This window comes from Homo sapiens, chromosome 17 (assembly GCF_000001405.40).
Source record: "Homo sapiens chromosome 17, GRCh38.p14 Primary Assembly".
Taxonomy (NCBI): Eukaryota; Metazoa; Chordata; class Mammalia; order Primates; family Hominidae; genus Homo; species Homo sapiens.
In genome coordinates, this window is record NC_000017.11 from 26,175,397 (window position 1) to 26,200,660 (window position 25,264).

The 25,264-nt window shown below is 41.0% G+C and overlaps 1 annotated feature.

Annotated features, from left to right (window-relative positions):
* Positions 1-25,264: part of a centromere (Linear centromere model derived predominantly from reads generated in PMID: 17803354. This region does not represent an actual centromere sequence, as long-range ordering of repeats and unmapped WGS contigs is not provided by the model. For details of model production, see http://arxiv.org/abs/1307.0035.) that runs on past both edges of the window.

Consider the following 25,264-nt stretch of genomic DNA (forward strand, 5'->3'; position numbering starts at 1 on the left):
AAGCTAGACAGTAGCATTCTCAGAAACTTCTTTGTGATGCTTGCATTCAACTCACAGAGTTGAACTTTCCTTTCGAGAGAGAAGCTTTGAAACACTCTTTTTCCAGAATCTGCAAGTGGACATTTGGAGGGCTTTGAGGCCTGTGGTGGAAAAGGAATTATCTTCCCGTAAAAGCTAGATAGAAGCATTGTCAGAAACTTCTTTGTGATGATTGCATTCAACTCACAGAGTTGAAGGTTCCTTTTCAAACAGCAGTTTCCAAACACCCTTTCTGTGGAATCTGCAAGTGGATGTTTGGACCTCTTGGAAGATTTCGTTGGAAACGGGAGAATCTTCACATAAAAGCTAAACAGAAGCTTTCTCAGAAACTTCTCTGTGATGTTTGTGTTCAACTCCCAGAGTTTCACATTGCTTTTCATAGAGTAGTTCTGAAACATGCTTTTCGTAGTGTCTGCAAGTGGACGTTTGGAGCGCTTTCAGGCCAGTGGTGGAAAACGAATTATGGTCACAAAAAAACTGGAGAGAAGCCTTCTCAGAAACTTCTCTGTGATGATTGCATTCAACTCACAGAGTTGAACCCTCCAATGGATAGAGCAGTGTTGAAATTCTCTTTTTGTGGAATCTGCAAGTGGATATGTGGACCTCTCCGAAGATGTCTTTGGAAACGGGAATATCTTCACATAAAAACTAAACAGAAGCATTCTCAGAAACTTCTTGGTGATGTTTGCATTCAAATCCCAGAGTTGAACCTTCCTTTGATAGTTCAGGTTTGAAACACTCTTTTTGTAGGATCTGCAAGTGGATATTTGGACCACTCTGTGGCCTTCGTTCGAAACGGGTACATCTTCGCAAAAAATCTAGACAGAAGCATTCTCAGAAAATACTTTGTGATGATTGAGTTCAACTCACAGAGCTGAACATTCCTTCGGATGGAGCAGGTTTGAGACACACTTTTTGTAGAATCTACAAGTGGATATTTGGACCTCTCTGAGGATTTCGTTGGAAACAGGATAACTGCACCTAACTAAACGGAAGCATTCTCAGAAACTGCTTTGTGATGATTGCATTCACCTCACAGAGTTGAACATTCCTATTGATAGAGCAGTTTGGAAACACTCTTGTTGTGGAATGTGCAAGTGGAGATTTGGAGCGCTTTGAGGCCTATGGTAGTAAAGGGAATAGCTTCATAGAAAAACTAGACAGATGCATTCTCAGGAACCTTTTGGTGATGTTTGTATTCAACTCCCAGAGTTGAACTTTCCTTTGGAAAGAGCAGCTATGAAACACTCTTTTTCTAGAATCTGCAAGTGGACGTTTGGAGGGCTTTGTGGTTTGTGGTGGAAAAGGAAATATCTTCACCTAAATACTAGATAGAAGCATTCTCAGAAGCTTCTCTGTGATGACTGCATTCAACTCACGGAGTTGAACACTCCTTTTGAGAGCGCAGTTTTGAAACTCTCTTTCTGTGGCATCTGCAAGGGGACATGTAGACCTCTTTGAAGATTTCGTTGGAAACGGAATCATCTTCACATAAAAACTATACAGAAGCAGTCTCAGAATCTTCTTTGTGATGTTTGCATTCAAATCCCAGAGTTGAACTTTCCTTTCAAAGTTCACGTTTGAAACACTCTTTTTGCAGGATCTACAAGTGGATATTTGGACCACTCTGTGTCCTCCGTTCGAAACGGGTATATCTTCACATGACATCTAGACAGAAGCTTTCTCAGAAAATTCTTTGGGATGATTGAGTGGAACTCACAGAGCTGAACATTCCTTGTGATGTAGCAGTTTAGAAACACACTTTCTGCAGAATCTGCAAGTGCATATGTGGACCTCTCTGAGGAATTCGTTGGAAACGGGATAATTTCAGCTGACTAAACAGAAGCATTCTCAGAACCTTCTTCGTGATGTCTGCATTCAACTCACAGTGTGGAACCTTTCTTTGATAGTTCAGGTTTGAAACACTCTTTTTGTAGAAACTGCAAGGGGATAATTGCACTTCTTTGAGGCCTACCGTAGTAAAGGAAATAACTTCCTATAGAAAGAAGACAGAAGAATTCTCAGAGCCCTCTTCGTGATGTTTGCATTCAACTCACAGTGCTGAACCTTTCTTTGATAGTGCAGCTTTGAAACACTCTTTTTGTAGAAACTGCAAGTGGATGTTTGGTCCTCTCTGAGGATTTCGTTGGAAACGGGATAAACCGCACAGAACTAAAACAGAAGCATTCTCAGAACCTTCTTCGTGATGTTTGCATTCAACTCACAGTGTTGAACCTTTCTTTGATAGTTCAGGTTTGAAACGGTCTTTCTGTAGAAACTGCAAGTAGATCTTTGGACCTCTCTGAGGATTTCGTTGGAAACGGGATAACCCACACAGAACTAAAACAGAAGCATTCACAGAAAACTCCTGGTGACGACTGAGTTTAACTCACAGAGCTGAACATTCCCTTGGTTGGAGCAGTTTCGAAACACACTGTTTGTAGAATCTGCAGGTGGATGTTTGGGCCTCTCTGAGGATTTCGTTGGAAACGGGATAAACGGCAGAGAACTAAAACAGAAGCATTCTCAGAAACTACTTTGTGATGATTGCATTCAAGTCACAGATTTGAACATTCCCTTTGACGGAGCAGTTTGGAAACTCTCTTTGTGTAGAATCTGCAAGTGGAGATATGGAATGCTTTGAGGACTATGGTAGTAAAGGAAATAGCTTCATATAAAAGCTAGACAGTAGCATTCTCAGAAACTTCTTTGTGATGCTTGCATTCAACTCACAGAGTTGAACTATCCTTTCGAGAGAGAAGCTTTGAAATACTCTTTTTCCAGAATCTGCAAGTGGACATTTGGAGGGCTTTGAGGCCTGTGGTGGAAAAGGAATTATCTTCCTGTAAAAGCTAGATAGAAGCATTGTCAGAAACTTCTTTGTGATGATTGCATTCAACTCACAGAGATGAAGGTTCCTTTACAATCAGCATTTTCCAAACACTCTTTCTGTGGAATCTGCAAGTGGATATTTGGACCTCTTTGAAGATTTCGTTGGAAACGGGAGAATCTTCACAGAAAAGCTAAACAGAAGCATTCTCAGAAACTTCTCTGTGATGTTTGTGTTCAACTCCCAGAGTTTCACATTGCTTTTCATAGAGTAGTTCTGAAACATGCTTTTCGTAGTGTCTGCAAGTGGACATTTGGAGCGCTTTCAGGCCTGTGGTGGAAAACGAATTATGGTCCCATAAAAACTGGAGAGAAGCCTTCTCAGAAACTTCTCTGTGATGATTGCATTCAACTCACAGATTTGAACCCTCCTATGGATAGAGCATTGTTGAAACTCTCTTTTTGTGGAATCTGCAAGTGGATATGTGGACCTCTCCGAAGATGTCTTTGGAAACGGGAATATCTTCACATAAAAACTAAACAGAAGCATTCTCAGAAACTTCTTGGTGATGTTTGCATTCAAATCCCAGAGTTGAACCTTCCTTTGATAGTTCAGGTTTGAAACACTCTTTCTGTAGGATCTGCAAGTGGCTATTTGGACCACTCTGTGGCCTTCGTTCGAAACGGGTATATCTTCGCATAAAATCTAGACAGAAGCATTCTCAGAAAATACTTTGTGATGATTGAGTTTAAATCACAGAGCTGACCATTCCTTTGGATGGAGCAGGTTTGAGACACACTTTTTGTAGAATCTACAAGTGGATATTTGGACCTCTCTGAGGATTTCGTTGGAAACGGGATAACTGCACCTAACTAAACGGAAGGATTCTCAGAAACTGCTTTGTGATGATTGCATTCACCTCACAGAGTTGAACATTCCTATTGATAGAGCAGTTTGGAAACACTCTTCTTGTGGAATGTGCAAGTGGAGATTTGGAGCGCTTTGAGGCCTATGGTAGTAAAGGGAATAGCTTCATAGAAAAACTAGACAGAAGCGTTCTCAGGAACTCCTTGATGTTGTTTGTATTCAACTTCCAGAGTTGAACTTTCCTTCGGAAAGAGCAGCTATGAAACACTCTTTTTCTAGAGTCTGCAAGTGGACATGAGGAGGGCTTTGTGGTTTGTGGTGGAAAAGGAAATATCTTCACCTAAATACTAGATAGAAGCATTCTCAGAAGCTTCTCTGTGATGACTGCATTCAACTCACGGAGTTGAACACTCCTTTTGGGAGCGCAGTTTTGAAACTCTCTTTCTGTGGCATCCGCAAGGGGACATGTAGACCTCTTTGAAGATTTCGTTGGAAACGGAATCATCTTCACATAAAAACTATACAGAAGCAGTCTCAGAATCTTCTTTGTGATGTTAGCATTCAAATCCCAGAGTTGAACTTTCCTTTCAAAGTTCACGTTTGAAACACTCTTTTTGCAGGATCTACAAGTGGATATTTGGACCACTTCTGTGTCCTTCGTTCGAAACGGGTATATCTTCACACGACATCTAGACAGAAGCTTTCTCAGAAAATTCTTTGGGATGATTGAGTGGAACTCACAGAGCTGAACATTCCTTGCGATGTAGCAGTTTAGAAACACACTTTCTGCAGAATCTGCAAGTGCATATTTGGACCTCTCTGAGGAATTCGTTGGAAACGGGATAATTTCAGCTGACTAAACAGAAGCATTCTCAGAACCTTCTTCGTGATGTCTGCATTCAACTCACAGTGTGGAACCTTTCTTTGATAGTTCAGGTTTGAAACACTCTTTTTGTAGAAACTGCAAGGGGATAATTGCACTTCTTTGAGGCCTACCGTAGTAAAGGAAATAACTTCCTATAGAAAGAAGACAGAAGAATTCTCAGAGCCCTCTTCGTGATGTTTGCATTCAACTCACAGTGCTGAACCTTTCTTTGATAGTGCAGCTTTGAAACACTCTTTTTGTAGAAACTGCAAGTGGATGTTTGGTCCTCTCTGAGGATTTCGTTGGAAACGGGATAAACCGCACAGAACTAAAACAGAAGCATTCTCAGAACCTTCTTCGTGATGTTTGCATTCAACTCACAGTGTTGAACCTTTCTTTGATAGTTCAGGTTTGAAACGGTCTTTCTGTAGAAACTGCAAGTAGATATTTGGACCTCTCTGAGGATTTCGTTGGAAACGGGATAACCCGCACAGAACTAAAACAGAAGCATTCACAGAAAACTCTTGGTGACGACTGAGTTTAACTCACAGAGCTGAACATTCCTTTGGATGGAGCAGTTTCGAAACACACTATTTGTAGAATGTGCAAGTGGATATTTGGGCCTCTCTGAGGATTTCGTTGGAAACGGGATAAACCGCACAGAACTAAACAGAAGCATTCTCAGAAACTACTTTGTGATGATTGCATTCAAGTCACAGAGTTGAACATTCCCTTTGACAGAGCAGTTTGGAAACTCTCTTTGTGTAGAATCTGCAAGTGGAGATATGGACCGCTTTGAGGCCTATGGTAGTAAAGGAAATAGCTTCATATAAAAGCTAGACAGTAGCATTCTCAGAAACTTCTTTGTGATGCTTGCATTCAACTCACAGAGTTGAACTTTCCTTTCGAGAGAGAAGCTTTGAAACACTCTTTTTCCAGAATCTGCAAGTGGACATTTGGAGGGCTTTGAGGCCTGTGGTGGAAAAGGAATTATCTTCCCGTAAAAGCTAGATAGAAGCATTGTCAGAAACTTCTTTGTGATGATTGCATTCAACTCACAGAGTTGAAGGTTCCTTTTCAAACAGCAGTTTCCAATCACTCTTTCTGTGGAATCTGCAAGTGGATATTTGGGCCTCTCTGAGGATTTCGTTGGAAACGGGATAAAACGCACAGAACTAAAACAGAAGCATTCTCAGAAACTTCTCTGTGATGTTTGTGTTCAACTCCCAGAGTTTCACATTGCTTCTCATAGAGTAGTTCTGAAACATGCTTTTCGTAGTGTCTGCAAGTGGACATTTGGAGCGCTTTCAGGCCTGTGGTGGAAAACGAATTATGGTCACATAAAAACTGGAGAGAAGCCTTCTCAGAAACTTCTCTGTGATGATTGCATTCAACTCACAGAGTTGAACCCTCCTATGGATAGAGCAGTGTTGAAACTCTCTTTTTGTGGAATCTGCAAGCGGATATGTGGACCTCTCCGAAGATGTCTTTGGAAACGAGAATATCTTCACATAAAAACTAAACAGAAGCATTCTCAGAAACTTCTTGGTGATGTTTGCATTCAAATCCCAGAGTTGAACCTTCCTTTGAGAGTTCAGGTTTGAAACACTCTTTTTGTAGGATCTGCAAGTGGATATTTGGACCACTCTGAGGCCTTCGTTCGAAACGGGTACATCTTCGCATAAAATCTAGACAGAAGCATTCTCAGAAAATACTTTGTGATGATTGAGTTGAACTCACAGAGCTGAACATTCCTTTGGATGGAGCAGGTTTGAGACACACTTTTTGTAGATTCTACAAGTGGATATTTGGACCTCTCTGAGAATTTCGTTGGAAACGCGATAACTGCACCTAATTAAACGGAAGCACTCTCAGAAACTGCTTTGTGATGATTGCATTCACCTCACAGAGTTGAACATTCCTATTGATAGAGCAGTTTGGAAAAACTCTTGTTGTGGAATGTGCAAGTGGAGATTTGGAGCGCTTTGAGGCCTATGGTAGTAAAGGGAATAGCTTCATAGAAAAACTAGACAGATGCATTCTCAGGAACTTTTTGGTGATGTTTGTATTCAACTCCCAGAGTTGAACTTTCCTTTGGAAAGAGCAGCTATGAAACACTCTTTTTCTAGAATCTGCAAGTGGACGTTTGGAGGGCTTTGTGGTTTGTGGTGGAAAAGGAAATATCTTCACCTAAATACTAGATAGAAGCATTCTCAGAAGCTTCTCTGTGATGACTGCATTCAACTCACGGAGTTGAACACTCCTTTTGAGAGCGCAGTTTTGAAACTCTCTTTCTGTGGCATCTGCAAGGGGACATGTAGACCTCTTTGAAGATTTCGTTGGAAACGGAATCATCTTCACATAAAAACTATACAGAAGCAGTCTCAGAATCTTCTTTGTGATGTTTGCATTCAAATCCCAGAGTTGAACTTTCCTTTCAAAGTTCACGTTTGAAACACTCTTTTTGCAGGATCTACAAGTGGATATTTGGACCACTCTGTGTCCTTCGTTCGAAACGGGTATATCTTCACACGACATCTAGACAGAAGCTTTCTCAGAAAATTCTTTGGGATGATTGAGTGGAACTCACAGAGCTGAACATTCCTTGCGATGTAGCAGTTTAGAAACACACTTTCTGCAGAATCTGCAAGTGCATATTTGGACCTCTCTGAGGAATTCGTTGGAAACGGGATAATTTCAGCTGACTAAACAGAAGCATTCTCAGAACCTTCTTCGTGATGTCTGCATTCAACTCACAGTGTGGAACCTTTCTTTGATAGTTCAGGTTTGAAACACTCTTTTTGTAGAAACTGCAAGGGGATAATTGCACTTCTTTGAGGCCTACCGTAGTAAAGGAAATAACTTCCTATAGAAAGAAGACAGAAGCATTCTCAGAACCCTCTTCGTGATGTTTGCATTCAACTCACAGTGCTGAACCTTTCTTTGATAGTTCAGCTTTGAAACACTCTTCTTGTAGAAACTGCAAGTGGATATTTGGTCCTCTCTGAGGATTTCGTTGGAAACGGGATAAACCGCACAGAACTAAACAGAAGCATTCTCAGAACCTTCTTCGTGATGTTTGCATTCAACTCACAGTGTTGAACCTTTCTTTGATAGTTCAGGTTTCAAACGGTCTTTCTGTAGAAACTGCAAGTAGATATTTGGACCTCTCTGAGGATTTCGTTGGAAACGGGATAACCCGCACAGAACTAAAACAGAAGCATTCACAGAAAACTCTTGGTGACGACTGAGTTTAACTCACAGAGCTGAACATTCCTTTGGATGGAGCAGTTTCGAAACACACTATTTGTAGAATGTGCAAGTGGATATTTGGGACTCTCTGAGGATTTCGTTGGAAACGGGATAAACCGCACAGAACTAAACAGAAGCATTCTCAGAAACTACTTTGTGATGATTGCATTCAAGTCACAGAGTTGAACATTCCCTTTGACAGAGCAGTTTGGAAACTCTCTTTGTGTAGAATCTGCAAGTGGAGATATGGACCGCTTTGAGGCCTATGGTAGTAAAGGAAATAGCTTCATATAAAAGCTAGACAGTAGCATTCTCAGAAACTTCTTTGTGATGCTTGCATTCAACTCACAGAGTTGAACTTTCCTTTCGAGAGAGAAGCTTTGAAACACTCTTTTTCCAGAATCTGCAAGTGGACATTTGGAGGGCTTTGAGGCCTGTGGTGGAAAAGGAATTATCTTCCCGTAAAAGCCTAGATAGAAGCATTGTCAGAAACTTCTTTGTGATGATTGCATTCAACTCACAGAGTTGAAGGTTCCTTTTCAAACAGCAGTTTCCAATCACTCTTTCTGTGGAATCTGCAAGTGGATATTTGGGCCTCTCTGAGGATTTCGTTGGAAACGGGATAAAACGCACAGAACTAAAACAGAAGCATTCTCAGAAACTTCTCTGTGATGTTTGTGTTCAACTCCCAGAGTTTCACGTTGCTTTTCATAGAGTAGTTCTGAAACATGCTTTTCGTAGTGTCTGCAAGTGGACATTTGGAGCGCTTTCAGGCCTGTGGTGGAAAACGAATTATGGTCACATAAAAACTGGAGAGAAGCCTTCTCAGAAACTTCTCTGTGATGATTGCATTCAACTCACAGAGTTGAACCCTCCTATGGATAGAGCAGTGTTGAAACTCTCTTTTTGTGGAATCTGCAAGTGGATATGTGGACCTCTCCGAAGATGTCTTTGGAAACGGGAATATCTTCACATAAAAACTAAACAGAAGCATTCTCAGAAACTTCTTGGTGATGTTTGCATTCAAATCCCAGAGTTGAACCTTCCTTTGATAGTTCAGGTTTGAAACACTCTTTTTGTAGGATCTGCAAGTGGCTATTTGGACCACTCTGTGGCCTTCGTTCGAAACGGGTATATCTTCGCATAAAATCTAGACAGAAGCATTCTCAGAAAACACTTTGTGATGATTGAGTTTAAATCACAGAGCTGAACATTCCTTTGGATGGAGCAGGTTTGAGACACACTTTTTGTAGAATCTACAAGTGGATATTTGGACCTCTCTGAGGATTTCGTTGGAAACGGGATAACTGCACCTAACTAAACGGAAGCATTCTCAGAAACTGCTTTGTGATGATTGCATTCACCTCACAGAGTTGAACATTCCTATTGATAGAGCAGTTTGGAAACACTCTTGTTGTGGAATGTGCAAGTGGAGATTTGGAGCGCTTTGAGGCCTATGGTAGTAAAGGGAATAGCTTCATAGAAAAACTAGACAGATGCATTCTCAGGAACCTTTTGGTGATGTTTGTATTCAACTCCCAGAGTTGAACTTTCCTTTGGAAAGAGCAGCTATGAAACACTCTTTTTCTAGAATCTGCAAGTGGACGTTTGGAGGGCTTTGTGGTTTGTGGTGGAAAAGGAAATATCTTCACCTAAATACTAGATAGAAGCATCCTCAGAAGCTTCTCTGTGATGACTGCATTCAACTCACGGAGTTGAACACTCCTTTTGAGAGCGCAGTTTTGAAACTCTCTTTCTGTGGCATCTGCAAGGGGACATGTAGACCTCTTTGAAGATTTCGTTGGAAACGGAATCATCTTCACATAAAAACTATACAGAAGCAGTCTCAGAATCTTCTTTGTGATGTTTGCATTCAAATCCCAGAGTTGAACTTTCCTTTCAAAGTTCACGTTTGAAACACTCTTTTTGCAGGATCTACAAGTGGATATTTGGACCACTCTGTGTCCTTCGTTCGAAACGGGTATATCTTCACAGGACATCTAGACAGAAGCTTTCTCAGAAAATTCTTTGGGATGATTGAGTGGAACTCACAGAGCTGAACATTCCTTGCGATGTAGCAGTTTAGAAACACACTTTCTGCAGAATCTGCAAGTGCATATTTGGACCTCTCTGAGGAATTCGTTGGAAACGGGATAATTTCAGCTGACTAAACAGAAGCATTCTCAGAACCTTCTTCGTGATGTCTGCATTCAACTCACAGTGTGGAACCTTTCTTTGATAGTTCAGGTTTGAAACACTCTTTTTGTAGAAACTGCAAGGGGATAATTGCACTTCTTTGAGGCCTACCGTAGTAAAGGAAATAACTTCCTATAGAAAGAAGACAGAAGAATTCTCAGAGCCCTCTTCGTGATGTTTGCATTCAACTCACAGTGCTGAACCTTTCTTTGATAGTGCAGCTTTGAAACACTCTTTTTGTAGAAACTGCAAGTGGATGTTTGGTCCTCTCTGAGGATTTCGTTGGAAACGGGATAAACCGCACAGAACTAAAACAGAAGCATTCTCAGAACCTTCTTCGTGATGTTTGCATTCAACTCACAGTGTTGAACCTTTCTTTGATAGTTCAGGTTTGAAACGGTCTTTCTGTAGAAACTGCAAGTAGATATTTGGACCTCTCTGAGGATTTCGTTGGAAACGGGATAACCCGCACAGAACTAAAACAGAAGCATTCACAGAAAACTCTTGGTGACGACTGAGTTTAACTCACAGAGCTGAACATTCCTTTGGATGGAGCAGTTTCGAAACACACTATTTCTAGAAGGTGCAAGTGGATATGTGGGCCTCTCTGAGGATTTCGTTGGAAACGGGATAAACCGCACAGAACTAAACAGAAGCATTCTCAGAAACTACTTTGTGATGATTGCATTCAAGTCACAGAGTTGAACATTCCCTTTGACAGAGCAGTTTGGAAACTCTCTTTGTGTAGAATCTGCAAGTGGAGATATGGACCGCTTTGAGGCCTATGGTAGTAAAGGAAATAGCTTCATATAAAAGCTAGACAGTAGCATTCTCAGAAACTTCTTTGTGATGCTTGCATTCAACTCACAGAGTTGAACTTTCCTTTCGAGAGAGAAGCTTTGAAACACTCTTTTTCCAGAATCTGCAAGTGGACATTTGGAGGGCTTTGAGGCCTGTGGTGGAAAAGGAATTAACTTCCCGTAAAAGCTAGATAGAAGCATTGTCAGAAACTTCTTTGTGATGATTGCATTCAACTCACAGAGTTGAAGGTTCCTTTTCAAACAGCAGTTTCCAATCACTCTTTCTGTGGAATCTGCAAGTGGATATTTGGGCCTCTCTGAGGATTTCGTTGGAAACGGGATAAAACGCACAGAACTAAAACAGAAGCATTCTCAGAAACTTCTCTGTGATGTTTGTGTTCAACTCCCAGAGTTTCACGTTGCTTTTCATAGAGTAGTTCTGAAACATGCTTTTCGTAGTGTCTGCAAGTGGACATTTGGAGCGCTTTCAGGCCTGTGGTGCAAAACGAATTATGGTCCCATAAAAACTGGAGAGAAGCCTTCTCAGAAACTTCTCTGTGATGATTGCATTCAACTCACAGATTTGAACCCTCCTATGGATAGAGCATTGTTGAAACTCTCTTTTTGTGGAATCTGCAAGTGGATATGTGGACCTCTCCGAAGATGTCTTTGGAAACGGGAATATCTTCACATAAAAACTAAACAGAAGCATTCTCAGAAACTTCTTGGTGATGTTTGCATTCAAATCCCAGAGTTGAACCTTCCTGTGATAGTTCAGGTTTGAAACACTCTTTTTGTAGGATCTGCAAGTGGATATTTGGACCACTCTGTGGCCTTCGTTCGAAACGGGTACATCTTCACATAAAATCTAGACAGAAGCATTCTCAGAAAATACTTTGTGATGATTGAGTTTAACTCACAGAGCTGAACATTCCTTTGGATGGAGCAGGTTTGAGACACACTTTTTGCAGAATCTACAAGTGGATATTTGGACCTCTCTGAGGATTTCGTTGGAAACGGGATAACTGCACCTAACTAAGCGGAAGCATTCTCAGAAACTGCTTTGTGATGATTGCATTCACCTCACAGAGTTGAACATTCCTATTGATAGAGCAGTTTGGAAACACTCTTGTTGTGGAATGTGCAAGTGGAGATTTGGAGCGCTTTGAGGCCTGTGGTAGTAAAGGGAATAGCTTCATAGAAAAACTAGACAGATGCATTCTCAGGAACTTTTTGGTGATGTTTGTATTCAACTCCCAGAGTTGAACTTTCCTTTGGAAAGAGCAGCTATGAAACACTCTTTTTCTAGAATCTGCAAGTGGACGTTTGGAGGGCTTTGTGGTTTGTGGTGGAAAAGGAAATATCTTCACCTAAATACTAGATAGAAGCATTCTCAGAAGCTTCTCTGTGATGACTGCATTCAACTCACGGAGTTGAACACTCCTTTTGAGAGCGCAGTTTTGAAACTCTCTTTCTGTGGCATCTGCAAGGGGACATGTAGACCTCTTTGAAGATTTCGTTGGAAACGGAATCATCTTCACATAAAAACTATACAGAAGCAGTCTCAGAATCTTCTTTGTGATGTTTGCATTCAAATCCCAGAGTTGAACTTGCCTTTCAAAGTTCACGTTTGAAACACTCTTTTTGCAGGATCTACAAGTGGATATTTGGACCACTCTGTGTCCTTCGTTCGAAACGGGTATATCTTCACATGACATCTAGACAGAAGCTTTCTCAGAAAATTCTTTGGGATGATTGAGTTGAGCAAACAGAGCTGAACACTCCTTGCGATGTAGCAGTTTAGAAACACCCTTTCTGCAGAATCTGCAAGTGCATATGTGGACCTCTCTGAGGAATTCGTTGGAAACGGGATAATTTCAGCTGACTAAACAGAAGCATTCTCAGAACCTTCTTCGTGATGTCTGCATTCAACTCACAGTGTGGAACCTTTCTTTGATAGTTCAGGTTTGAAACACTCTTTTTGTAGAAACTGCAAGGGGATCATTGCACTTCTTTGAGGCCTACCGTAGTAAAGGAAATAACTTCCTATAAAAAGAAGACAGAAGAATTCTCAGAGCCCTCTTCGTGATGTTTGCATTCAACTCACAGTGCTGAACCTTTCTTTGATAGTGCAGCTTTGAAACACTCTTTTTGTAGAAACTGCAAGTGGATATTTGGTCCTCTCTGAGGATTTCGCTGGAAACGGGATAAACCGCACAGAACTAAAACAGAAGCATTCTCAGAACCTTCTTCGTGATGTTTGTATTCAACACACAGTGTTGAACCTTTCTTTGATAATTCAGGTTTGAAACGGTCTTTCTGTAGAAACTGCAAGTAGATATTTGGACCTCTCTGAGGATTTCGTTGGAAACGGGATAAACCGCACAGAACTAAAACAGAAGCATTCACAGAAAACTCTTGGTGACGACTGAGTTTAACTCACAGAGCTGAACATTCCTTTGGATGGAGCAGTTTCGAAACACACTATTTGTAGAATGTGCAAGTGGATATTTAGGCCTCTCTGAGGATTTCGTTGGAAACGGGATAAACCGCACAGAACTAAACAGAAGCATTCTCAGAAACTACTTTGTGATGATTGCATTCAAGTCACAGAGTTGAACATTCCCTTTGACAGAGCAGATTGGAAACTCTCTTTGTGTAGAATCTGCAAGTGGAGATATGGACCGCTTTGAGGCCTATGGTAGTAAAGGAAATAGCTTCATATAAAAGCTAGACAGTAGCATTCTCAGAAACTTCTTTGTGATGCTTGCATTCAACTCACAGAGTTGAACTTTCCTTTCGAGAGAGAAGCTTTGAAACACTCTTTTTCCAGAATCTGCAAGTGGACATTTGGAGGGCTTTGAGGCCTGTGGTGGAAAAGGAATTATCTTCCCGTAAAAGCTAGATAGAAGCATTGTCAGAAACTTCTTTGTGATGATTGCATTCAACTCACAGAGTTGAAGGTTCCTTTTCAAACAGCAGTTTCCAATCACTCTTTCTGTGGAATCTGCAGGTGGATATTTGGACCGCTTTGAAGATTTCGTTGGAAACGGGAGAATCTTCACAGAAAAGCTAAACAGAAGCATTCTCAGAAACTTCTCTGTGATGTTTGTGTTCAACTCCCAGAGTTTCACATTGCTTTTCATAGAGTAGTTCTGAAACATGCTTTTCGTAGTGTCTGCAAGTGGACATTTGGAGAGCTTTCAGGCCTGTGGTGGAAAACGAATTATGGTCACATAAAAACTGGAGAGAAGCCTTCTCAGAAACTTCTCTGTGATGATTGCATTCAACTCACAGAGTTGAACCCTCCTATGGATAGAGCAGTGTTGAAACTCTCTTTTTGTGGAATCTGCAAGTGGATATGTGGACCTCTCCGAAGATGTCTTTGGAAATGGGAAAATCTTCACATAAAAGCTAATCAGAAGCATTCTCAGAAACTTCTTGGTGATGTTTGCATTCAAATCCCAGAGTTGAACCTTCCTTTGATAGTTCAGGTTTGAAACACTCTTTTTGTAGGATCTGCAAGTGGATATTTGGACCACTCTGTGGCCTTCGTTCGAAACGGGTACATCTTCGCATAAAATCTAGACAGAAGCATTCTCAGAAAATACTTTGTGATGATTGAGTTTAACTCACAGAGCTGAACATTCCTTTGGATGGAGCAGGCTTGAGACACACTTTTTGTAGAATCTACAAGTGGATATTTGGACCTCTCTGAGGATTTCGTTGGAAACGGGATAACTGCACCTAACTAAACGTAAGCATTCTCAGAAACTGCTTTGTGATGATTGCATTCACCTCACAGAGTTGACCATTCCTATTGATAGAGCAGTTTGGAAACACTCTTGTTGTGGAATGTGCAAGTGGAGATTTGGAGCGCTTTGAGGCCTATGGTAGTAAAGGGAATAGCTTCATAGAAAAACTAGACAGATGCATTCTCAGGAACTTTTTGGTGATGTTTGTATTCAACTCCCAGAGTTGAACTTTCCTTTGGAAAGAGCAGCTATGAAACACTCTTTTTCTAGAATCTGCAAGTGGACGTTTGGAGGGCTTTGTGGTTTGTGGTGGAAAAGGAAATATCTTCACCTAAATACTAGATAGAAGCATTCTCAGAAGCTTCTCTGTGATGACTGCATTCAACTCACGGAGTTCAACACTCCTTTTGAGAGCGCAGTTTTGAAACTCTCTTTCTGTGGCATCTGCAAGGGGACATGTAGACCTCTTTGAAGATTTTGTTGGAAACGGAATCATCTTCACATAAAAACTATACAGAAGCAGTCTCAGAATCTTCTTTGTGATGTTTGCATTCAAATCCCAGAGTTGAACTTTCCTTTCAAAGTTCACGTTTGAAACACTCTTTTTGCAGGATCTACAAGTGGATATTTGGACCACTCTGTGTCCTTCGTTCGAAACGGGTATATCTTCACATGACATCTAGACAGAAGCTTTCTCAGAAAATTCTTTGGGATGATTGAGTTGAAGTCACAGAGCTGAACATTCCTTGTGATGTAGCAGTTTAGAAACACACTTTCTGCAGAATCTGCAAGTGCATATTTGGACCTCTCTGAGGAATTCGTTGGAAACGGGATAATTTCAGCTGACTAAACAGAAGCATTCTCAGAGCCTTCTTCGAGATGTCTGCATTCAACTCACAGTGTGGAACCTTTCTTTGATAGTTCAGGTTTGAAACACTCTTTTTGTAGAAACTGCAAGGGGATAATTGCACTTCTTTGAGGCCTACCGTAGCAAAAGAAATAACTTCCTATAAAAAGAAGACAGAAGCATTCTCAGAACCCTCTTCGTGATGTTTGCATTCAACTCACAGTGCTGAATCTTTCTTTGATAGTTCAGCTATGAAACACTCTTTTTGTAGAAACTGCAAGTGGATATTTGGTCCTCTCTGAGCATTTCGTTGGAAACGGGATAAACTGCACAGAACTAAACAGAAGCATTCTCAGAACCCTCTTCGTGATGTTTGCATTGAACTCACGGTGCTGAACCTTTCTTTGATAGTTCAGCTTTGAAACACTCTTTTTGTAGAAACTGCAAGTGGATATTTGGTCCTCTCTGAGGATTTCGTTGGAAACGGGATAAACCGCACAGAACTAAACAGAAGCATTCACAGAAAACTCTTGGTGACGACTGAGTTTAACTCACAGAGCTGAACATTCCTTTGGATGGAGCAGTTTCGAAACACACTATTTGTAGAATGTGCAAGTGGATATGTGGGCCTCTCTGAGGATTTCGTTGGAAACGGGATAAACCGCACAGAACTAAAACAGAAGCATTCTCAGAAACTACTTTGTGATGATTGCATTCAAGTCACAGAGTTGAACATTCCCTTTGACAGAGCAGTTTGGAAACTCTTTGTGTAGAATCTGCAAGTGGAGATATGGACCGCTTTGAGGCCTATGGTAGTAAAGGAAATAGCTTCATATAAAAGCTAGACAGTAGCATTCTCAGAAACTTCTTTGTGATGCTTGCATTCAACTCACAGAGTTGAACTTTCCTTTCGAGAGAGAAGCTTTGAAACACTCTTTTTCCAGAATCTGCAAGTGGACATTTGGAGGGCTTTGAGGCCTGTGGTGGAAAAGGAATTATCTTCCCGTAAAAGCCTAGATAGAAGCATTGTCAGAAACTTCTTTGTGATGATTGCATTCAACTCACAGAGTTGAAGGTTCCTTTTCAAACAGCAGTTTCCAATCACTCTTTCTGTGGAATCTGCAAGTGGATATTTGGGCCTCTCTGAGGATTTCGTTGGAAACGGGATAAACCGCACAGAACTAAAACAGAAGCATTCTCAGAAACTTCTCTGTGATGTTTGTGTTCAACTCCCAGAGTTTCACATTGCTTCTCATAGAGTAGTTCCGAAACATGCTTTTCGTAGTGTCTGCAAGTGGACATTTGGAGCGCTTTCAGGCCTGTGGTGGAAAACGAATTATGGTCACATAAAAACTGGAGAGAAGCCTTCTCAGAAACTTCTCTGTGATGATTGCATTCAACTCACAGAGTTGAACCCTCCTATGGATAGAGCAGTGTTGAAACTCTCTTTTTGTGGAATCTGCAAGTGGATATGTGGACCTCTCCGAAGATGTCTTTGGAAACGGGAATATCTTCACATAAAAACTAAACAGAAGCATTCTCAGAAACTTCTTGGTGATGTTTACATTCAAATCCCAGAGTTGAAGCTTCCTTTGATAGTTCAGGTTTGAAACACTCTTTTTGTAGGATCTGCAAGTGGATATTTGGACCACTCTGTGGCCTTCGTTCGAAACGGGTACATCTTCGCATAAAATCTAGACAGAAGCATTCTCAGAAAATACTTTGTGATGATTGAGTTTAAATCACAGAGCTGACCATTCCTTTGGATGGAGCAGGTTTGAGACACACTTTTTGTAGAATCTACAAGTGGATATTTGGACCTCTCTGAGGATTTCGTTGGAAACGGGATAACTGCACCTAACTAAACGGAAGCATTCTCAGAAACTGCTTTGTGATGATTGCATTCACCTCACAGAGTTGAACATTCCTATTGATAGAGCAGTTTGGAAACACTCTTGTTGTGGAATGTGCAAGTGGAGATTTGGAGCGCTTTGAGGCCTATGGTAGTAAAGGGAATAGCTTCATAGAAAAACTAGACAGATGCATTCTCAGGAACTTTTTGGTGATGTTTGTATTCAACTCCCAGAGTTGAACTTTCCTTTGGAAAGAGCAGCTATGAAACACTCTTTTTCTAGAATCTGCAAGTGGACGTTTGGAGGGCTTTGTGGTTTGTGGTGGAAAAGGAAATATCTTCACCTAAATACTAGATAGAAGCATTCTCAGAAGCTTCTCTGTGATGACTGCATTCAACTCACGGAGTTGAACACTCCTTTTGAGAGCGCAGTTTTGAAACTCTCTTTCTGTGGCATCTGCAAGGGGACATGTAGACCTCTTTGAAGATTTCGTTGGAAACGGAATCATCTTCACATAAAAACTATACAGAAGCAGTCCCAGAATCTTCTTTGTGATGTTTGCATTCAAATCCCAGGGTTGAACTTTCCTTTCCAAGTTCACGTTTGAAACACTCTTTTTGCAGGATCTACAAGTCGATATTTGGACCACTCTGCGTCCTTCGTTCGAAACGGGTATATCTTCACATGACATCTAGACTGAAGCTTTCTCAGAAAATTCTTTGGGATGATTGAGTTGAGCAAACAGAGCTGAACACTCCTTGTGATGTAGCAGTTTAGAAACACACTTTCTGCAGAATCTGCAAGTGCATATGTGGACCTCTCTGAGGAATTCGTTGGAAATAGGATAATTTCAGCTGACTAAACAGAAGCATTCTCAGAACCTTCTTCGTGATGTCTGCATTCAACTCACAGTGTGGAACCTGTCTTTGATAGTTCAGGTTTGAAACACTCTTTTTGTAGAAACTGCAAGGGGATCATTGCACTTCTTTGAGGCCTACCGTAGTAAAGGAGATAACTTCCTATAAAAAGAAGACAGAAGAATTCTCAGAGCCCTCTTCGTGATGTTTGCATTCAACTCACAGTGCTGAACCTTTCTTTGATAGTGCAGCTTTGAAACACTCTTTTTGTAGAAACTGCAAGTGGATGTTTGGTCCTCTCTGAGGATTTCGTTGGAAACGGGATAAACCGCACAGAACTAAAACAGAAGCATTCTCAGAACCTTCTTCGTGATGTTTGCATTCAACTCACAGTGTTGAACCTTTCTTTGATAGTTCAGGTTTGAAACGGTCTTTCTGTAGAAACTGCAAGTAGATATTTGGACCTCTCTGAGGATTTCGTTGGAAACGGGATAAACCGCACAGAACTAAAACAGAAGCATTCACAGAAAACTCTTGGTGACGACTGAGTTTAACTCACAGAGCTGAACATTCCTTTGGATGGAGCAGTTTCGAAACACACTATTTGTAGAATGTGCAAGTGGATATTTAGGCCTCTCTGAGGATTTCGTTGGAAACGGGATAAACCGCACAGAACTAAACAGAAGCATTCTCAGAAACTACTTTGTGATGATTGCATTCAAGTCACAGAGTTGAACATTCCCTTTGACAGAGCAGTTTGGAAACTCTCTTTGTGTAGAATCTGCAAGTGGAGATATGGACCGCTTTGAGGCCTATGGTAGTAAAGGAAATAGCTTCATATAAAAGCTAGACAGTAGCATTCTCAGAAACTTCTTTGTGATGCTTGCATTCAACTCACAGAGTTGAACTTTCCTTTCGAGAGAGAAGCTTTGAAACACTCTTTTTCCAGAATCTGCAAGTGGACATTTGGAGGGCTTTGAGGCCTGTGGTGGAAAAGGAATTATCTTCCCGTAAAAGCTAGATAGAAGCATTGTCAGAAACTTCTTTGTGATGATTGCATTCAACTCACAGAGTTGAAGGTTCCTTTTCAAACAGCAGTTTCCAATCACTCTTTCTGTGGAATCTGCAAGTGGATATTTGGGCCTCTCTGAGGATTTCGTTGGAAACGGGATAAAACGCACAGAACTAAAACAGAAGCATTCTCAGAAACTTCTCTGTGATGTTTGTGTTCAACTCCCAGAGTTTCACATTGCTTTTCATAGAGTAGTTCTGAAACATGCTTTTCGTAGTGTCTACAAGTGGACATTTGGAGCGCTTTCAGGCCTGTGGTGGAAAACGAATTATGGTCACATAAAAACTGGAGAGAAGCCTTCTCAGAAACTTCTCTGTGATGATTGCATTCAACTCACAGAGTTGAACCCTCCTATGGATAGAGCAGTGTTGAAACTCTCTTTTTGTGGAATCTGCAAGTGGATATGTGGACCTCTCCGAAGATGTCTTTGGAAACGGGAATATCTTCACATAAAAACTAAACAGAAGCATTCTCAGAAACTTCTTGGTGATCTTTGCATTCAAATCCCAGAGTTGAACCTTCCTTTGATAGTTCAGGTTTGAAACACTCTTTTTGTAGGATCTGCAAGTGGATATTTGGACCACTCTGTGGCCTTCGTTCGAAACGGGTACATCTTCACATAAAATCTAGACAGAAGCATTCTCAGAAAATACTTTGTGATGATTGAGTTTAACTCACAGAGCTGAACATTCCTTTGGATGGAGCAGGTTTGAGACACACTTTTTGTAGAAACTACAAGTGGATATTTGGACCTCTCTGAGGATTTCGTTGGAAACGCGATAACTGCACCTAACTAAACGGAAGCATTCTCAGAAACTGCTTTGTGATGATTGCATTCACCTCACAGAGTTGAACATTCCTATTGATAGAGCAGTTTGGAAACACTCTTGTTGTGGAATGTGCAAGTGGAGATTTGGAGCGCTTTGAGGCCTATGGTAGTAAAGGGAATAGCTTCATAGAAAAACTAGACAGATGCATTCTCAGGAACTTTTTGGTGATGTTTGTATTCAACTCCCAGAGTTCAACTTTCCTTTGGAAAGAGCAGCTATGAAACACTCTTTTTCTAGAATCTGCAAGTGGACGTTTGGAGGGCTTTGCGGTTTGTGGTGGAAAAGGAAATATCTTCACCTAAATACTAGATAGAAGCATCCTCAGAAGCTTCTCTGTGATGACTGCATTCAACTCACGGAGTTGAACACTCCTTTTGAGAGCGCAGTTTTGAAACTCTCTTTCTGTGGCATCTGCAAGGGGACATGTAGACCTCTTTGAAGATTTCGTTGGAAACGGAATCATCTTCACATAAAAACTACACAGAAGCAGTCTCAGAATCTTCTTTGTGATGTTTGCATTCAAATCCCAGAGTTGAACTTTCCTTTCAAAGTTCACGTTTGAAACACTCTTTTTGCAGGATCTACAAGTGGATATTTGGACCACTCTGTGTCCTTCGTTCGAAACGGGTATATCTTCACACGACATCTAGACAGAAGCTTTCTCAGAAAATTCTTTGGGATGATTGAGTGGAACTCACAGAGCTGAACATTCCTTGCGATGTAGCAGTTTAGAAACACACTTTCTGCAGAATCTGCAAGTGCATATTTGGACCTCTCTGAGGAATTCGTTGGAAACGGGATAATTTCAGCTGACTAAACAGAAGCATTCTCAGAACCTTCTTCGTGATGTCTGCATTCAACTCACAGTGTGGAACCTTTCTTTGATAGTTCAGCTTTGAAACACTCTTTTTGTAGAAACTGCAAGGGGATAATTGCACTTCTTTGAGGCCTACCGTAGTAAAGGAAATAACTTCCTATTAAAAGAAGACAGAAGAATTCTCAGAGCCCTCTTCGTGATGTTTGCATTCAACTCACAGTGCTGAACCTTTCTTTGATAGTGCAGCTTTGAAACACTCTTTTTGTAGAAACTGCAAGTGGATGTTTGGTCCTCTCTGAGGATTTCGTTGGAAACGGGATAAACCGCACAGAACTAAAACAGAAGCATTCTCAGAACCTTCTTCGTGATGTTTGCATTCAACTCACAGTGTTGAACCTTTCTTTGATAGTTCAGGTTTGAAACGGTCTTTCTGTAGAAACTGCAAGTAGATATTTGGACCTCTCTGAGGATTTCGTTGGAAAAGGGATAACCCGCACAGAACTAAAACAGAAGCATTCACAGAAAACTCTTGGTGACGACTGAGTTTAACTCACAGAGCTGAACATTCCTTTGGATGGAGCAGTTTCGAAACACACTATTTGTAGAATGTGCAAGTGGATATTTAGGCCTCTCTGAGGATTTCGTTGGAAACGGGATAAACCGCACAGAACTAAACAGAAGCATTCTCAGAAACTACTTTGTGATGATTGCATTCAAGTCACAGAGTTGAACATTCCCTTTGACAGAGCAGTTTGGAAACTCTCTTTGTGTAGAATCTGCAAGTGGAGATATGGACCGCTTTGAGGCCTATGGTAGTAAAGGAAATAGCTTCATATAAAAGCTAGACAGTAGCATTCTCAGAAACTTCTTTGTGATGCTTGCATTCAACTCACAGAGTTGAACTTTCCTTTCGAGAGAGAAGCTTTGAAACACTCTTTTTCCAGAATCTGCAAGTGGACATTTGGAGGGCTTTGAGGCCTGTGGTGGAAAAGGAATTATCTTCCCGTAAAAGCTAGATAGAAGCATTGTCAGAAACTTCTTTGTGATGATTGCATTCAACTCACAGAGATGAAGGTTCCTTTACAAACAGCAGTTTCCAAACACTCTTTCTGTGGAATCTGCAAGTGGATATTTGGACCTCTTTGAAGATTTCGTTGGAAACGGGAGAATCTTCACAGAAAAGCTAAACAGAAGCATTCTCAGAAACTTCTCTGTGATGTTTGTGTTCAACTCCCAGAGTTTCACATTGCTTTTCATAGAGTAGTTCTGAAACATGCTTTTCGTAGTGTCTGCAAGTGGACATTTGGAGCGCTTTCAGGCCTGTGGTGGAAAACGAATTATGGTCCCATAAAAACTGGAGAGAAGCCTTCTCAGAAACTTCTCTGTGATGATTGCATTCAACTCACAGATTTGAACCCTCCTATGGATAGAGCATTGTTGAAACTCTCTTTTTGTGGAATCTGCAAGTGGATATGTGGACCTCTCCGAAGATGTCTTTGGAAACGGGAATATCTTCACATAAAAACTAAACAGAAGCATTCTCAGAAACTTCTTGGTGATGTTTGCATTCAAATCCCAGAGTTGAACCTTCCTGTGATAGTTCAGGTTTGAAACACTCTTTTTGTAGGATCTGCAAGTGGATATTTGGACCACTCTGTGGCCTTCGTTCGAAACGGGTACATCTTCACATAAAATCTAGACAGAAGCATTCTCAGAAAATACTTTGTGATGATTGAGTTTAACTCACAGAGCTGAACATTCCTTTGGATGGAGCAGGTTTGAGACACACTTTTTGTAGAATCTACAAGTGGATATTTGGACCTCTCTGAGGATTTCGTTGGAAACGCGATAACTGCACCTAACTAAACGGAAGCATTCTCAGAAACTGCTTTGTGATGATTGCATTCACCTCACAGAGTTGAACATTCCTATTGATAGAGCAGTTTGGAAACACTCTTGTTGTGGAATGTGCAAGTGGAGATTTGGAGCGCTTTGAGGCCTATGGTAGTAAAGGGAATAGCTTCATAGAAAAACTAGACAGATGCATTCTCAGGAACCTTTTGGTGATGTTTGTATTCAACTCCCAGAGTTGAACTTTCCTTTGGAAAGAGCAGCTATGAAACACTCTTTTTCTAGAATCTGCAAGTGGACGTTTGGAGGGCTTTGTGGTTTGTGGTGGAAAAGGAAATATCTTCACCTAAATACTAGATAGAAGCACTCTCAGAAGCTTCTCTGTGATGACTGCATTCAACTCACGGAGTTGAACACTCCTTTTGAGAGCGCAGTTTTGAAACTCTCTTTCTGTGGCATCTGCAAGGGGACATGTAGACCTCTTTGAAGATTTCGTTGGAAACGGAATCATCTTCACATAAAAACTATACAGAAGCAGTCTCAGAATCTTCTTTGTGATGTTTGCATTCAAATCCCCGAGTTGAACTTTCCTTTCAAAGTTCACGTTTGAAACACTCTTTTTGCAGGATCTACAAGTGGATATTTGGACCACTCTGTGTCCTTCGTTCGAAACGGGTATATCTTCACATGACATCTAGACAGAAGCTTTCTCAGAAAATTCTTTGGGATGATTGAGTTGAACTCACAGAGCTGAGCATTCCTTGCGATGTAGCAGTTTAGAAACACACTTTCTGCAGAATCTGCAAGTGCATATTTGGACCTCTGTGAGGAATTCGTTGGAAACGGGATAATTTCAGCTGACTAAACAGAAGCATTCTCAGAACCTTCTTCGTGATGTCTGCATTCAACTCACAGTGTGGAACCTTTCTTTGATAGTTCAGGTTTGAAACACTCTTTTTGTAGAAACTGCAAGGGGATAATTGCACTTCTTTGAGGCCTACCGTAGTAAAGGAAATAACTTCCTATAGAAAGAAGACAGAAGCATTCTCAGAACCCTCTTCGTGATGTTTGCATTCAACTCACAGTGCTGAACCTTTCTTTGATAGTTCAGCTTTGAAACACTCTTTTTGTAGAAACTGCAAGTGGATATTTGGTCCTCTCTGAGCATTTCGTTGGAAACGGGATAAACTGCACAGAACTAAACAGAAGCATTCTCAGAACCTTCTTCGTGATGTTTGCATTCAACTCACAGTGTTGAACCTTTCTTTGATAGCTCAGGTTTGAAACGGTCTTTCTGTAGAAACTGCAAGTAGATATTTGGACCTCTCTGAGGATTTCGTTGGAAACGGGATAACCCGCACAGAACTAAAACAGAAGCATTCACAGAAAACTCTTGGTGACGACTGAGTTTAACTCACAGAGCTGAACATTCCTTTGGATGGAGCAGTTTCGAAACACACTATTTGTAGAATGTGCAAGTGGATATTTGGGCCTCTCTGAGGATTTCGTTGGAAACGGGATAAACCGCACAGAACTAAACAGAAGCATTCTCAGAAACTACTTTGTGATGATTGCATTCAAGTCACAGAGTTGAACATTCCCTTTGACAGAGCAGTTTGGAAACTCTCTTTGTGTAGAATCTGCAAGTGGAGATATGGACCGCTTTGAGGCCTATGGTAGTAAAGGAAATAGCTTCATATAAAAGCTAGACAGTAACATTCTCAGAAACTTCTTTGTGATGCTTGCATTCAAGTCACAGAGTTGAACTTTCCTTTCGAGAGAGAAGCTTTGAAACACTCTTTTTCCAGAATCTGCAAGTGGACATTTGGAGGGCTTTGAGGCCTGTGGTGGAAAAGGAATTAACTTCCCGTAAAAGCTAGATAGAAGCATTGTCAGAAACTTCTTTGTGATGATTGCATTCAACTCACAGAGTTGAAGGTTCCTTTTCAAAGAGCAGTTTCCAATCACTCTTTCTGTGGAATCTGCAAGTGGATATTTGGACCTATTTTGAAGATTTCGTTGGAAACGGGAGAATCTTCACAGGAAAGCTAAACAGAAGCATTCTCAGAAACTTCTCTGTGATGTTTGTGTTCAACTCCCAGAGTTTCACATTGCTTTTCATAGAGTAGTTCTGAAACATGCTTTTCGTAGTGTCTACAAGTGGACATTTGGAGCGCTTTCAGGCCTGTGGTGGAAAACGAATTATGGTCACATAAAAACTGGAGAGAAGCCTTCTCAGAAACTTCTCTGTGATGATTGCATTCAACTCACAGAGTTGAACCCTCCTATGGATAGAGCAGTGTTGAAACTCTCTTTTTGTGGAATCTGCAAGTGGATACGTGGACCTCTCCGAAGATGTCTTTGGAAACGGGAATATCTTCACATAAAAACTAAACAGAAGCATTCTCAGAAACTTCTTGGTGATGTTTGCATTCAAATCCCAGAGTTGAACCTTCCTTTGATAGTTCAGGTTTGAAACACTCTTTCTGTAGGATCTGCAAGTGGCTATTTGGACCACTCTGTGGCCTTCGTT